The sequence below is a fragment of the Homo sapiens genome, chromosome 14 (genome assembly GCF_000001405.40).
Source record: "Homo sapiens chromosome 14, GRCh38.p14 Primary Assembly".
In the NCBI taxonomy this organism is placed as follows: Eukaryota; Metazoa; Chordata; class Mammalia; order Primates; family Hominidae; genus Homo; species Homo sapiens.
Window position 1 is genome coordinate 52,900,545 of NC_000014.9, and position 15,123 is coordinate 52,915,667.

General features: G+C 40.6%; 1 protein-coding gene and 1 long non-coding RNA gene across 9 annotated transcripts in view; one reads left to right on the forward strand and one right to left on the reverse strand.

Annotated features, from left to right (window-relative positions):
• Window positions 1-15,123, forward strand: part of LOC105370500 (uncharacterized) — a 138,447-nt gene that overhangs the window by 108,757 nt on the left and 14,567 nt on the right. Inside the window, exon 3 of one of the 2 annotated variants that reach the window (XR_007064167.1) lies at window positions 4,920-5,091. The exons of the other annotated variant lie outside the window; for it this stretch is intronic. This is a non-coding gene — a long non-coding RNA (uncharacterized LOC105370500). Of the gene's footprint in view, window positions 1-4,919; window positions 5,092-15,123 lie in introns of those variants that run through there. 2 annotated transcript variants of the gene reach the window in all.
• The window catches only part of FERMT2 (FERM domain containing kindlin 2), a 93,778-nt gene that overhangs the window by 43,272 nt on the left and 35,383 nt on the right, over window positions 1-15,123 (reverse strand). The gene's annotated exons all lie outside the window — the stretch shown is intronic.

The following is a 15,123-nucleotide window of genomic DNA, read 5'->3' on the forward strand; positions in this document are numbered from 1 at the left end:
ATGGAAGAAAATATGGGATAAGAAATCTCAGAAAAGTTTTGGGAAGCAGAAGTCAGATGGAACAGTAACTTTGTAAACTGGAGAAATATAAAACCAAGGTGTTTGTAGAAGGAGGTACCAATGGGTAACACCCTGATTCACTGTTCTAATCATCAAACTGAGGCACAGAAAACAGATAGACTACCTGAAAAAATTTAGTCCGCCCCAGCATCCCTTTCCTGTTCCATTACTGAATTAAACTCAGGTAACCTACTCCACAGACACACACCCTTTAGGATCCTTTACAAACAGAACCTGAATAGCCCTAGGGAAAAGATCTTTTAGATAGTGATGTTTGAAAAAGCTTGCTCAATATGTCTAAATACCTTACAGAGGGATGATGAGCTAAACTCCACCCAATATAGAGCTTCCTATTAGGTACTGATATTGCCCCAGGCCAGGCGCAGTGGCTCATGCCTGTAATCCTAGCACTTTGGGAGGCCGAGGCGGGCGGATCACGAAATCAGGAGATGGAGACCATCCTGACTAACGTGGTGAAACCCCGGTCTCTACTAAAAATACAAAAAAAAAAAAAAAAAAAAAAAAAATTAGCTGGGCGTTGTGGCGGGCGCCTGTAGTCCCAGCTACTCCGGAGGCTGAGGCAGGAGAATGGCTTGAACCCGGGAGGCGGAGCTTGCAGTGAGCCGAGATCGCGCCACTGCACTCCAGCCTAGGCGACAGAGCGAGACTCTGTCTCAAAAAAAAAAAAAAAAAAAAGCCCCAGCATTAAACATAGGAACAGCCAGCCAATGATTACTAGACACTTGAGAAAGGCTTCTGGGGTGGGCAGAATACTGAAGTTTAATATCCCTACCCATGGTTACACAAACACCAATCTAGGTACTGCTGTGAGGAGTTTTTGCAAATGAATTAAGATCACTTATCAAATGATTTTAGGGAGATTATCCTGGGTTATCTGGGTGAGCCCAACGTAATCACATGAGGCCTCCAGCACAGAAGAGGCAGGAAGAAGAGAGATGAGACAGAAGGAGTGGTCAGATAAATTCAGACAGAAGACCTTGACTTGCTGTTACTGGCTTTGAAGATAGAGGAAGGGGGCAACAAGCAATGTGGAGAGCCTCTAGGAGCTGAGAATGACCCCTAGCAGACAAGCCAGAGGGAATCTTAGTCTTACAATCACAAAGAACCAAATTCTACCAAGCAAAATTCATTCTCACAGCCTCCAGGAAGGAACGCAGCCCTGCTGACACCTTAACTTCAGCCACTTAAGAGTCTATAGAGGACACAGGTGAGCCACGTGTACACACCTTTAACCTACAGTGACTGTGAGATAAATTCGTGTTGTTTCAGGCTGCTAAATTTATGGTAATTTGTTATGGCAGCAATGCAACACCAACAAACCTTCTAACAGGAAAGACAGAGACCAAACAAAAAGAAAAATAACTTATGAGAAACAGACACAATGCAGACTACAGAGAACAAAACACAACGTGCTTAATGAAGAGGCTGAGAAAAAGACAATGACATCTAGAAGAGATAAACAGGATAATATAAAAAACAATGAGAGGCCGGGCACGGTGGCTTACGCCTGTAATCCCAGCACTTTGGGAGGCCGAGGTGGGTGGATCACTTGAGGTCAGGAATTCAAGATCAGCCTGGCCAACATGGTGAAACCCTGTCTCTACTAAAAATACAAAAATTAGCTGGGCATGATGGCGTGCATCTGTAGTCCCAGTTACTCAGGAGGCTGAGGCAGGAGAATTGCTTGAACCTAGGAGGCGGAGGTTGCAGTGAGCCGAGATTGCACCATTGCACTTCAGCTTGGGCGACAACAGCAAAACTCTGTCTCAAAACAAAAACAAAAAAAAAAGAGAGAGAGAGATTAAGAGACTTTAGATATTAACAACAGAGGGGGAAGGGTCCTTTCCATTATTTTCACTATTCTGTTGAAGTATAACTTATATAAAGTCCACAAATCTTAAATATATTTAAGAATACCTATATAACAAACATCCAGATAGAAATATAAAACACTGAAAACTGGCCAGACACAGTGTCTCATGCCTGTAATCCCAGCACTTTGGGAGGCCGAGGCGGGTGGATTACCCAAAGTCAGGAATTCGAGACCAGCCTGGGCAACATGGTGAAACCCCATCTCTACTAAAAATATAAAAATGAGCCAGGCATGGTTGTGAGTGCCTGTAATCCCAGCTACTTGGGAGGCTGAGGCAGGAGAATCACTTGAACCCAGGAGGTGGAGGCTGCAGTGAGCTGGGGTCACACCACTGTACTCCAGCCTGGGTGGCTGAGCAAGACTCCGTCTCAAAAAAAAAAAAAAAAAAAAAAACCCCAAAACACTGAAAATTAAAATGTGATAGCCACCAAAAAAAAAAAAAAAATCCAATATAAAGTCAAGCAAGTGGATCGATCCAAGAACAATGTCTGACTAACAGTAACAGCGAGAACAGAGAAAACAAAGAGGAGGAAATTACCAAGGAAATAATATTATGAAACAACTCTGCATAAATACAAGAAATATCCCCTGGTCAGAAGTCTCCATCACAATGAATGAAAATAAAACCCTAACCAGGCAGGGCACATTGTTACAAAATTTCAAAATGGCAGGGAAAAGAAAAGATCCTAAAAGTTTCCAGTGAGAAAAGGCAGTCTACAAAGAAGATTAAAAATAAAAATCAAGAACACTATTAGGAGGCCAGGCATGGTGACTCATGCCTGTAATCTCAGCACTTTGGGAGACGAAGGTGGGAGGGCTGCTTGAGGTCAGGAGCTCAAGACCAGTCTAGGCAACATAGTGATACCCCATCTCTACAAAAAATTTAAAAATTAGGCAGGCATGGTGGTGCACACCTGTAGTCTCAGCTACTGGAGAAGCTGAAGCAGGAAGATTACTTGAGGCCAGGAGTTAGAGATTAGAGTGAGCTGTGATTGTGTCACTGCAGTCCAGCCTGGGCAACAGAGCAAGACCCTGTCTCTTAAGAAAAGAAAATAAATAAAAGAAAAAAGAAAAAAAAAACACTACCAGGACTATTAATAGCAACATTGGAAGCCAAAAGATAATTTAACAATGACTTCCAAATTCTGAGAGAAAAATAATTTTTGATCCAACAATTCTATCAAAGGGCAGAATAAAGAGAAATATAGTATCTCAAAAATTTACATCCTATTCACCTTTTTCTTACTACCCTGATGGAGAATATATTCCACCAAAATAAGAGAGCAAATCAACACTGAGGAAAACTCAAAGATCAAATACAAGAGAGAAGATGATGCTGAAGGGAAATCCTAGGGCTGTGACTGTACACCTTGGCCAAGAAAATATTCACCCCAGAGTGCAAGAGGATGTCTAGGAAGAAAAAAAGAAAAGTGGGGAGATTGACTATAATCCAAAAATGTATTTGATCATGTTGAAAATTAAGGAGAATAACAGAAAGTAAACGAATCAGCAACAAATATATGTTGCAAAAGCAGCAAATGATAAAAAAGATATATGACACTTTGGAAAGCAAAGATGGGAAAACTGCTTGAGCCCCCAGGAGTTAGAAACCAGCCTGGCGCCTGTAATCCCAGCACTTTGGGAGGCCGAGGTGGGTGGATCACCTGCGGTCAGGAGTTTGAGACCAGCCTGGCCAACATAGTGAAACCTCATCTCTACTAAAAATACAAAAAGTAAGCTGGGCGCAGTGGCTCACGCCTGTAATCTCAGCACTTTGGGAGGCCAAGGTGGGCGGATCACCTGAGGTCAGGAGTTGGAGACCAGCCTGGCCAACGTGGTGAAACCACGCCTCCACTAAAAATTAAAAAATTAGCTGGGCATGGTGGCATGTACCTATAATCCCAGCTACTCAAGAGGCTGAGACAGGAGAATTGCTTGAACCTGGGAGGTGGAGGTTGCAGTGAGCCAAGGTCGCGCCATTGCACTCCAGCCTGGGTGACAGATAAAGACTCTGTCTCAGAAAAAACAAACAAAAACAACAAAAATTAGCCAGGCATGGTGGCATGTGCCTGTAATCCCAGCTACTCGGGAGGCTGAGGCATGAGAATCGCCTGAACCTGGGAGGTGGAGGTTGCATTGAGCCGAGATTGCACCACTGCACTCCAGCCTGGGTGAAAGAGCAAGACCCTTTCAAAAAAAAGAAACAAACAAACAAACAAACCAGCCTGGGAAATATGATGAGACCTAATCTCTAAAAGGAGGAGAAAAAAAAAAAAAGGCATACGAGACAGGAAAGGTAAAAATACACATTTTGGCTCAGGAAGTAAAAATGTCTGCTTTCTTAATGTAAACAATGACAGTGATTCGGCCAAAAATTATAATAGTTATAATAAAGAAGAAAGGGTTGAGGCCAGGTGAGGTGGCTCATGCCTGCAATTCCCAGCACCTTGGGAGGCTGGGGCAGGTGGATAACTTGAGGTCAGGTGTTCCAGACCAGCCTGACCAACATGGTGAAACCTCATCTCTACTAAAAATACAAAATTAGCTGGGTGTGGTGGTGTGCGCTTGTAATCCCAGCTACTCAGGAGGCTGAGGCAGGAGAATCGCTTGAACCGGGGAGGCAGAGGTTTCAGTGAGCCAAGATTGCGCCACTGCACTCCAGCCTGGGGAACAGAGCGAGACTCCATCTCAAAAAAAAAAAAAAAGAAAGAGTTGAGTGGAAAAACATCAACAGATACCTAAAATTGATAAATCAAGAAGTAACAGTATAAGCACATATTTAGAATTATGAAAATAAAAGCCAGAAACAGTAAACGAGTAGAAAGTGGTAGGGAATGCAAGCAGGCACTGGGGAGAAATTGGGCAGGAAAGTAGTCTCATGGTATAAGCCTTTTTTACTTTAATTCAGCATTTATTGCTTTGATTAAAAAATAATTTCAAAAATCTTTCTGCTTACTGAATAAAGAATGCATTGGAAAGAACAAGAATGGATAAAGGAGAGTGCTTAGGAGGCTCCTGGAGCAGGAAGAGGTGGTGGCGAATAGACTACCGGAGCAGTGGAGGGTGGAGATGGAGAGACGTGGAAAGACTGAAGACATATCCTCGAGACAAAATGAACATTTCGAGGTGATGAGATGTGTAGGTGAGGAAGAGGGCAATGCTAAGGATTTCTCCCGTGTGTCTGGTATGTGTACCTGGGATGGAAGAGCCTTTTACTACTATGGCGATTGCCTGGAGGAAGGGCAGAAAGGAGGGAAGAGGGAGCACAGAGATTTGGAAAGGAATGCCATGAGTTCAGCCTTGAGCATGTTCAGTTTAAAATTTTGGTTAAAGAAATGGTTTTGTTATTATATGTAATGCTTCAGTGAGCATATGATGGCTTTCTAAGATGCACGGCTAGAAGAAAATCTAGGAAAAATTAAGAATGGAGGATTTCAAGTAAGTTGGGGTAACAGGAACTTGATTTACTCTCCTGTTTTATTTAAACAATAAGAAATAAAGGAAAAGAAAAAGAAACACTTTCAGACATTAGGCAACAAGATGCACGAAATAAAGACCAGAAGGATGAGCTGAGTGCACCAGCTTACTGCCTATGGGCAGGGGAGGGGCGCATGGGGCCTGGTCTTGCAGAGTTGAGAGATCTGGGATGGCATTCAGGGATGACAAGGTGGCTAGAATGTGTGGGGCAGGGGACAGGAGAGAAGGGAGCTCCACAGAGAGTGCTCTGGAGGTCTGCAGAGGTGTTTCCTGGAGTCTAGCTACCAGAGACTGTGGAAAGAACCGACGGCTAAAAGAGTTAATGTTCCTGTCAAGGAGAACAGAAAGACAGAGTACTGAGAAGAATCCCCAGAAGACTATGACCTCAGTAATGAGGCTAAATTAGTGCTAAGGCTAATGTTGCCTCTGGTCTATCCTAATAAAGCTTCAAAGCAAAAGAATCCAACTAATTCCAAGTAATTTGGTGATCAGAAAAAAATTCAAGACTACTCAATACAAAAAAATCCAGCCACTATGACGCATAATGACACATAGTCAGGAGTAAAGGGTGGGGGTGGGGAAGCACAAATAACTCAGATGATAAAGAATATTGTAATAGCTATATAAAAATACTCCATATGTTTAAGAAACTAGAGGAAAACACACATAATAGAAAAATGAAAAATCTATATAAAAATGAAGCCAAAATCAAACTTCTAGTGATGAAAAAAACATCTTAAATGAAAAAGGCACTGGATGGGATTAACAGCAAATTAGCAGCAGAAAGATCAATGGACTTGAAGATATGAATAAATCTTAAAAAAACTATTTCAGGATACATCATAATCAAATTGCTGATAACCAAGGTAAAGATAAAATCTTCCAAGGCAGACAGAAAACATACAGAGGAACAATAACAGACTTCTCTGAAATTATGCAAACCAGAAGACAACTGAGGGACATCAATTATTGGGGGGGGGGGGGGAATTTAGAATTCTTCTCCCAGCTGCAGTGTCTTTCAAAAATGAAGGCAAAATTAAAAAAAAAATGTTTTTGAGACAGGGTCTCCCTCTGTTGCCCAAGTTGGGGTGCAGTCACACAATCTCAACTCACTACAACCTTTGCTTCCCAGGCTCAAGCGATCCTCCCCGCTTAACCTCCTGAGCAGCTGGAACTACAGGTGCATGCCACCATGCCCAGCTAATTTTTTGGTATTTTTTGGAGATGGGGTTTCGCCATGTTGCACAGGCTGGTCTTGAACCCCTGGGCTCAGGTGATCTTTGGCCTCCCAAAGTGCTGGGACTACATGTAGGCATGAACCACTGTGCCTGGACCAAATCAAAACTTCTATAAACAAACAAAAGGTCAAAACTTCATAACCAGTAGACTTGCACTATAAGAAGAGAGGCATATGAAGTTCTTCAGGTAGAAGAAAAAGGAGACTACATGGAAAGGATACTTATAAAGAGCACTGAAAAATGGTAAATACGTGATATGAAAAACCATTTTGCTCATTTTTAAATACTTCACTGCTTTAGGGCGAAAATAACGTACTGTGGGGTTTAGCATATATAGGAGTAAAATACATGACACAAAAAGGACAGGAAGGGAGAAATGAAACTAAACTGCTGTAAGGTTATTATACTATGTGTGAAGTAGTATATTATTTGAAGGTAGGCTGAATAAGTTAAAGTCATATACTGTAAACCCTAGAGCAACCATTAAAATAGCAAAACGAAGGTCGTAATAGCTAGTAATTCACAAGTGGAGATGAATATAATCAAAACAACCACCCCCCACCAAAAAAAAAACCCCACCAAAAACCCCTTAATCTACTAGAAAGGAGGGAAACAGAAAAGAAATGGGACAACAGAGTTCATAAATTGGTCTTCACCAAAATGAAAACTTTTGCTCTTAGAAAACACTGTTAATGAAATGGTAAGCCACAGATTGTGAGAAAATATTTGCAAAACATATCCAATAAAATGTCCATATCTGGGATATGCAAAGAATGCTTACAACACAATCAGATGACAGCCTAATTTAAAGACGGACAGGCGAAGGACTCAAACAGACACCTCACCATTATATGGGGTGGCAATTAAGCACATGAATAGATGCTCAACATCATTAGTCACTAGGGTAATGCGAATTAAAGCCACAAGGAGATAGGCTCTCACACCTGCTAGAATACCCCAAACTGAAAAATGTTTCAAGGACACAGAGCAACTGGAACTCTCAAGTACTGCCCGGCAGAATGCAAAATAGTACAGCCACTTTGGAAAAGAATTTGACTATTTATTACAAGCTGAAACATCCACTTATCATATGACCCAGAAACCTACCGTAGTTTTTATTGTTCTTGAGTAAATACCTATGTTCCCACAAAGACCTGTAAGTGAATGGTCATAGAAGCTTTTTTTTAAAATAATGAGCCCAGCCCTTCGACTGGTGAATGGATAAACAAATTATGGTATATCCATACAACAGAGTACTACTCAGTAATAAGATGGAGTTGATAACACACAACATGGATGAAGGTCAGACACATTATGCTAAGTGGAAGAAGCCATAAAGAAAAGACCAAATACTATAGGATTCCATTTATCTAACATTTTAGAAAAGGCAAGACTATAGTAGCAGAGGGCAGATAAATGGTTGGCAGAGGTCGGAAGGGTAAAGAGGACTGCCAGCAGAGGGGCATCAGGGAACTGTCCTACATCTTGCTGGTGGTCCACTGGTCAAAATGCACTGAATTTTGCCATTACGATTATTTTGCCTTAAATTATACCTTAACAAAGCTGATCAAAAGGATAAATAAAATTAAAGGACATGGCTTATAAGACGCCCCTTGGGTCCTCAATAAAAATTTCATTTTTTATTTCTTTAAACTCCTGGCTCTATTGCTCAGTTTGACTGACTAGATACTTAAAAAGGCATGTGGCATGTCTGCTGATGGGCTAACTGACCTGCCATTTCTCAGCCCTCTTGCTTGCGGCTAGCATAAGGAAACTGGAAAAGTCAAGTCATATTCATGTTTTCCCAGTCTCCCTTGCAGCTAAGGGCAGCCATATGACCCAAGGTGGGCCAGGAGGATGTGAGGGGGGCTTCTGGGATGTTCTGCTTTGCTGTTAGGACACAGGTGTGGAAGAGAGAGAGGTGAAAGAGAGAGAGGTGCCTCCTGAATGCAGCTCTAGGTTGAGCACCCCTAACCTTACTAAAATGCTCATTGGAGCATTTCCTTTGAATGTCACATTGGCAGTCAAAAAGTTTCGAATTTTGGAGCACTTCAAATTTCAGATGAGGGCTACTCAACCCACGTATGCCTGGAGCTCTAGGAAGCATCTTACAATCATGAGGCCAACCTGACATGCTGAGGGGTGAGGAACTGAGGGATGGAAAGAGCTTGTCCTTGAAGACACAACTGAACAACAAATCCAGTTCCAGCAACCACTTCATTTTCTCAAGTAACTTCTTATGTGAAAAAGAAGGCTCTTATTAGTTTAAGGCACTGTTAAATCTAGATTTCTGGCTGGGCATGGTGGCTAATGCGTGTAATCCCAGCACTTTGGGAGGCTGAGGCAGGTAGATCACTTGAGGTCAGGAGTCCAGGACCAGCCTGGCCAACATGGCGAAATTCCACCTCTGCTAAAAATACAAAAGTTAGCCAGGTGTGGTGGCGGGCACATGTAATCCCAGCTACTCAGGAGGCTGTGGCAGGAGAACTGCTTGAACCCGGGAGGTGGAGGCTGCAGTACAAAAAAGTAGTTTAAGTGATCCTTCATTTCCTTTTCATCTTTATTTAAAAATCCCTCATGCCTGTTATCCCAGCACTTTGGGAGGCCAGGGTGGGTGGATCACGAGGTCAAGGGATCGAGACCATCCTGGCAAACATGGTGAAACCCTGTCTCTACTAAAAATACAAAAATTAGCTGGGCGTGGTGGAGCGCACCTGTAGTCCCAGCTACTCGGGAGGCTGAGGCAGGAGAATCGCTTGAAGCCAGGAGGTAGAGGCTGCAGTGAGCTGAGATTGCGCCACTGCACTCCAGCCTGGCGACAGAGCGAGACTCCATCTCAAAAATAAATAAATTAATTAAAATAGAGTAAATAAAAATCCAATCTTTATTGTTACCACTAAAAGCTTTTGTACAGAGTCCTTATGTACAGCTTAATTTACCTAAATCACTTTTATAATTACAAAAATTTTTTAAACACAACTGAGCTTTAGTCAATCTGAGTTCTGTTCCACTAGCATTTTGTGCTTCTCCATCCCTATCAAATAGATTCTTCTTCATAAGGCTAGAACAGAAAGAGAAAAAATAGGAATGAATTAGCATGTATCTAAAGCCGAAAGACCCAAATGACATGTCCTATTGATAACACAGAATGGTAACAAGCTCTAAACACAAAATATGTTATTTTATAGTAGCTCTCTGTTGTCAGATTTTGGGAGAAAAAGTTTCCTTTCCTCTTAAGAAGGCTCTTCATTTGTGAAGCCTGTGTGCCAGAATACGTTACATTAAAAAAAAAAATGACGTTCTTTGACAACAGTCTTTCTGTCCAAAAGAAAAGGAAAATGCAACAAAAACTTCATTTAATTATTACACAGAAGCACTGATCTGAAAGTGCGTTTTTGGAAGAAAAAATTATTACACAGAAGCATTTTCTCAAGAGTTAAATTATAAAAGAAAGATAATTTTTACCAAATAAAAAGCTTGGAAATGATGTCAGTGTTCAGCAAAAGTAGGTTATTTCCCTTTAAATAGTGTTCTGCTGGTCTTGGATCACTGTCCTTTTTCAGTGTTTGGCACACCCTTCACATTTACTTGGTAACCTTAGGTAACAATATATTTTGGTAGCAATGGAAATGTCCTCATCTTTCTTAGTTTTAATTCTACTGCTCGTACAGTAAGTAAGCAAAAGCCACAAGAGTAGATACAAGAGAGTTAAATTAATTAAGGGGAAATATTTAATAACTTGGGTTGAAAATCAACTAATCCAAAATAATTAACAGAAAAAACCCTAATTATTCCTGGGAAGAGTTATATACTGTCACTTCAGTGTTCAGTTTCAGTGGTGAAAAAAGAAAAAAATAAACCACTAATGTTTCCCATAATGTAATTCCGGGGTTGGCAAACTTTTTCTGTAAAGATAGTAAATATTTTAGGGTATGCAGCTCTACTCAATACTGCTGCTATAACGCAAAAGCAACCACAGACAATACCTAAGCCAATGAATGTAGCCATATTCCAATACAACTTTATTTATGAACATGGGAATTTGAATTTTTATAATTTTCACAGCATAAAATATTATTTTAACTTTTCTTAACCATTAAAAAAATATAAGAGCCTAATTATAATTAGTTCTTGAGCTACACAAAAGCAGGCTGTGGGCTGGGCACAGTGGCTCACACCTGTAATCCCAGCACTTTGGGAGGCTGAGGCGGGCGGATCACAAGGTCAGGAGATTGATACCATCCTGGCTAACATGGTGAAAACCCGTCTCTACTAAATAAACAAAAAATTAGCTGGGCGTGGTGGCGAGCGCCTATAGTCCCAGCTACTAGGGAGGCTGAGGCAGGAGAATGGCGTGAACCCGGGAGGCAGAGCTTGCAGTGAGCCAAGATCGCGCCACTGCAGTCCAACCTGGGTGACAGAGTGAGATTCCATCTCAAAATAAAAAAAAAAAAAAAGCAGGCTGCAGGCCAGAGTTTGCCAACACAGTTTAATCACTTGGCAAATCAAATACCCTTCCCTCTTTTCTAACACACATATGAAAATTTTATAGACTTCTGAGGAATATTTATAGCAATAACAGTGTTAAATTATGTATTAAATATGCATTTATTAAATATATATTACATTATTATTTAAGACCAATTAGCTGTTTTCTTATTTACTTTTGTAGCCAAACCTCAATTGTGTAACTGTTTGACTGGATCTTTACACCCTAGTTTTTCTCCTGGTTTCCTCCAAATGGAGACCCCATCCTAGGAACCCTGCTCTGTGATATTGACCCCCACCCTACCCCCAGTTCTTCATGATGTTAAGTAGACTGCAGCACAGAGCCTGCTATCAGATACCCCCCTTCCCTGTCGTGCTGCCAGCATGAGAAGACATCTATCTATTCACACATGTCAAGTACTTGGACTCTCACCAAATACTGTGATCATCTAAATTTTATGTACCTCCTAGATTTCTGAAATCTGTGCCCTTGGTATCTGCTCCTTCATGTAAACACGACTAGTCTATAAAGCACAACCCCTTTTGTTTTCGACAATTTCATAATCAAGTGCCTTAGTTCTTGGAGTATTCTCTAATATATCTACAAATAAAATTACCACTCATTAAGACCCTCTCTTTTCTGCAGGAAAGACTTTAGTCTTATAATTTGTCAAAATATTATGTAAATTTCTACCCATTAATACTGACAGTTCACAGACCCTTAACAGCTGTTAAGACTGTTTAGAGGAAATATAATGTAACTACCCAGTGAAGCAGAAATTCCCTGAACATCCTGTAACAGATCACTACTTTTTTTTTTTTTTTTTGAGACAGAGTCTTACTCTGTTGCCCAGGCTGGAAAGCAGTGGTGTCATCATGGCTCACTGCGACCTCCACCTCCCGGTTCAAGCGATTCTCCTGCCTCAGCCTCTCAAACAGTTGGGACCACAGGTGTGTGCCACCATGCCCGGCTACTTTTTGTATTTTTAGTAGAGACAGTGTTTCACCATGTTGGCCAAGCTGGTCTTGAACTCCTGGCCTCAAGTGATCTGCCTGCCTTGGCCTCCCAAAGCGCTGGGATTACAGGTGTGAGCCACCATGCCTGGCCATAGATCATTACTTTCCATTCGATCCCAGTGATAGGATTAACTGATCCTTATTTCTTTATTCCATCATTTTTTTCCTCTTATTCATTCAATTAATGTTCTCTAAGGTCATGCCCTATGCTGAGAATACAAAGATGGAAAGGCATGTTTCTGACTTTAGAAGTTTACATTCTAGAGATAAACAAAAACATAAAAAGCTAAAAGTGATTTTGATCCTTGAATGAAAGATAGCTTTCTTTTCTTGTTTATACAAATATTACATATTAAATTGTTAAAAACAGCAACAACAAACGATTGCAAAAGTGTAAGAACACAACTGGGGATAAAAAGCACAAACTTGAAATATCACCCCGAGATAACCTCTGTCAACATTCTAGTGAAATACCTCTGAGTATATCTTTAGGTGGATATTTAAACATAAATGGGATAATGTAGACATGCTTACTACATAGTATCTTTTTGTAACCTAAATTTCTAACATTGCAAACACAAAATTCTAACACTATGAGATCCCTCGGGAGTAAATGGGCCAATATACTCAATGCATGGATGAGCGCTCTCACTGGATATGGCTTCTCTGTCCTTAGAAGCTAGATGTTGCTACCACTTCTGCCACTAGAATGAGGTATTTGTTATCCTGGCTTGAGTCACGAGTTCCTGATTCAAAGTTCTAGGAGACATTTTCTGATGTGCACGTAACCTAGACTTGGCCAACTGCCTGCACTCTATCTATGAGGAGGGTTGGGAAACAACTATCTGGACTTTATGGTTTCTGTAGGAGGGAGGTGGGCTTTGTCTCACATTTTGGAAATGTCATAAGATATGACATTTCCAAACACAGAGCCAGAAGTTCAATGCCATGCAGCCAAAAACAGTAGTAGTAGTAGTAGTAGTAGTAGTAGTAGTAATGAAAGACCAACCACCCACTACAGATATATTTAGGAAGGTGGAGCAGTGTTAGCGTAACAACCTGAAAATCTTCTCAACATCTAACTTCATTCTATACAGCAGAGTGTGGAATGAAGAATTAATGCATAAAACATTTTATAGGAAAAAAGTGACGAGATTTGATGACAGGATGCCAGTGAAGATAGGTATAAGGAAGTAAGGTATAAGGAGCTCCAGATTCTTGTCTCAGAGAGTGACAAGAACCACATAGGTAGGTTCTTGTCTGTCTCTGCGTGATCTTGGGCAAGTCACTCCCTAAGCTCCATTTGGTTAAAATTCCCATGCATTCTTGAGTTAAAGGCGCTAGCAATTAAAACAAAAAACAGGCTAGATGTGGTGGCTGCTGCCTGTAATCCTACTGCTTTGGGAGGCCGAGGCAGGTGGATTGCTTGAGCACAGAAGTTAAAGACCAGCCTGGGTAACATAGTAAGACCCTGTCTCTACAAAAAAAAAAATATATAAAAATTAGCCAGGCATGGTGGTGCATGCCTGTGGTCCCAGCTACTTGGGAGGCTGAGGCAGGAGGACTATTTGAGCCCAGGAGGTCAAGGATGCAACAAGCTGTGTTCACACCACTGCACTCCAGCCTGGGTGACAGAGCAAGATACTATCTCAAAAAGCAAAAAACAAAACAAAACAGGAAAAGATCTCCCCCCAAAACAACAACAAATATTAAACTGAATGTCAAATGTTAAAAGCATTTCCATTTAAGTCAGGAACAACACAACAACAGTCATCATTACCGCTATTATGCAATACTGTACTAGAGGTTTAATCCAATACCATAAGATAAAGAAATAAGATGTATAAAAATGGGAAAGGAAGAGAGAAAAGTTATTATTTAGAAGAGACATGATTGCTTACATAGAAAATCCAAGAGAAGGCCGGGCATGGTGGCTCATGCCTGCAATCCCAGAACTTTGGGAGGCCGAGGCAGGCGGATCCCCTGAGGTCAAGAGTTCCAGACCAGCCTGGCCCACATGGCAAAACCCCGTCTCTACTAAAAATACAAAAATTAGCCAAGTATGATGGTGCGCAACTGTAGTCCCAGCTGCTTGGGAGGCTGAGGCAGAAGAAGTACTTGAATCCAGGAGGTGGAGGTTGCAGTGAGCGAAGATACCACCACTGAACTCCAGACTGGGTGACAGAGGGAGACTCTGTCTCAAAATAAATACATAACAAAAAATAAATAAAAATTAAAAAAACAAGAAAATCCAAGAGAATCAATAAATTATCAGAATTTATCAAAGAGTTCAGTAAGGTATCAGATATTAGATTATAAGAAAAAAAATAAACAGCATTCCTAATAGCAGTATCCAATTAGAAAAAGTATAAAGCCCCTGGAAGAAAACTTTTTTTAAAAAGCACAATATCTTTCTAGACAAAATGTGATTTAAGGGCAAAAAAGATTACTTCAACAAAAGGAGACAGATTTTATTCATGAATGGTAAGATCTACATAACATTAATGCATGCATTTCCAATCAATTACTATGGAATTTTCCCTAGAAATTAACAAACTGTTTCAAATTTCATATAGAAACATACAATTCCAAAATCAACCCACGCAATTCTGAAAAACAGCAAAGAAGAGGTACTTGCTCTATCAGATATAGAGATTTATTATGAGGCTACAGACATTCAAATAGTGTACTATCCATGTAAGGACATATAAATGGATCAATGGAAAAGAAGAGAGCATACAAAAACAGATCCACACAACATGGAATTTTGGTTTATGACAGAGCTGACATTATGCTTATGTGGAGAAATAACAGACAATTCAATAAACAGTGTTGGCTAGCATTTTCTCCTAAAATATGCTATACTACATCTCTATTTCACCAAATGCACAAAAGTAAATTCTAAGTAGATAAAAGCAGTAAACATGAAAAACAAAACTCTAAGAGTAC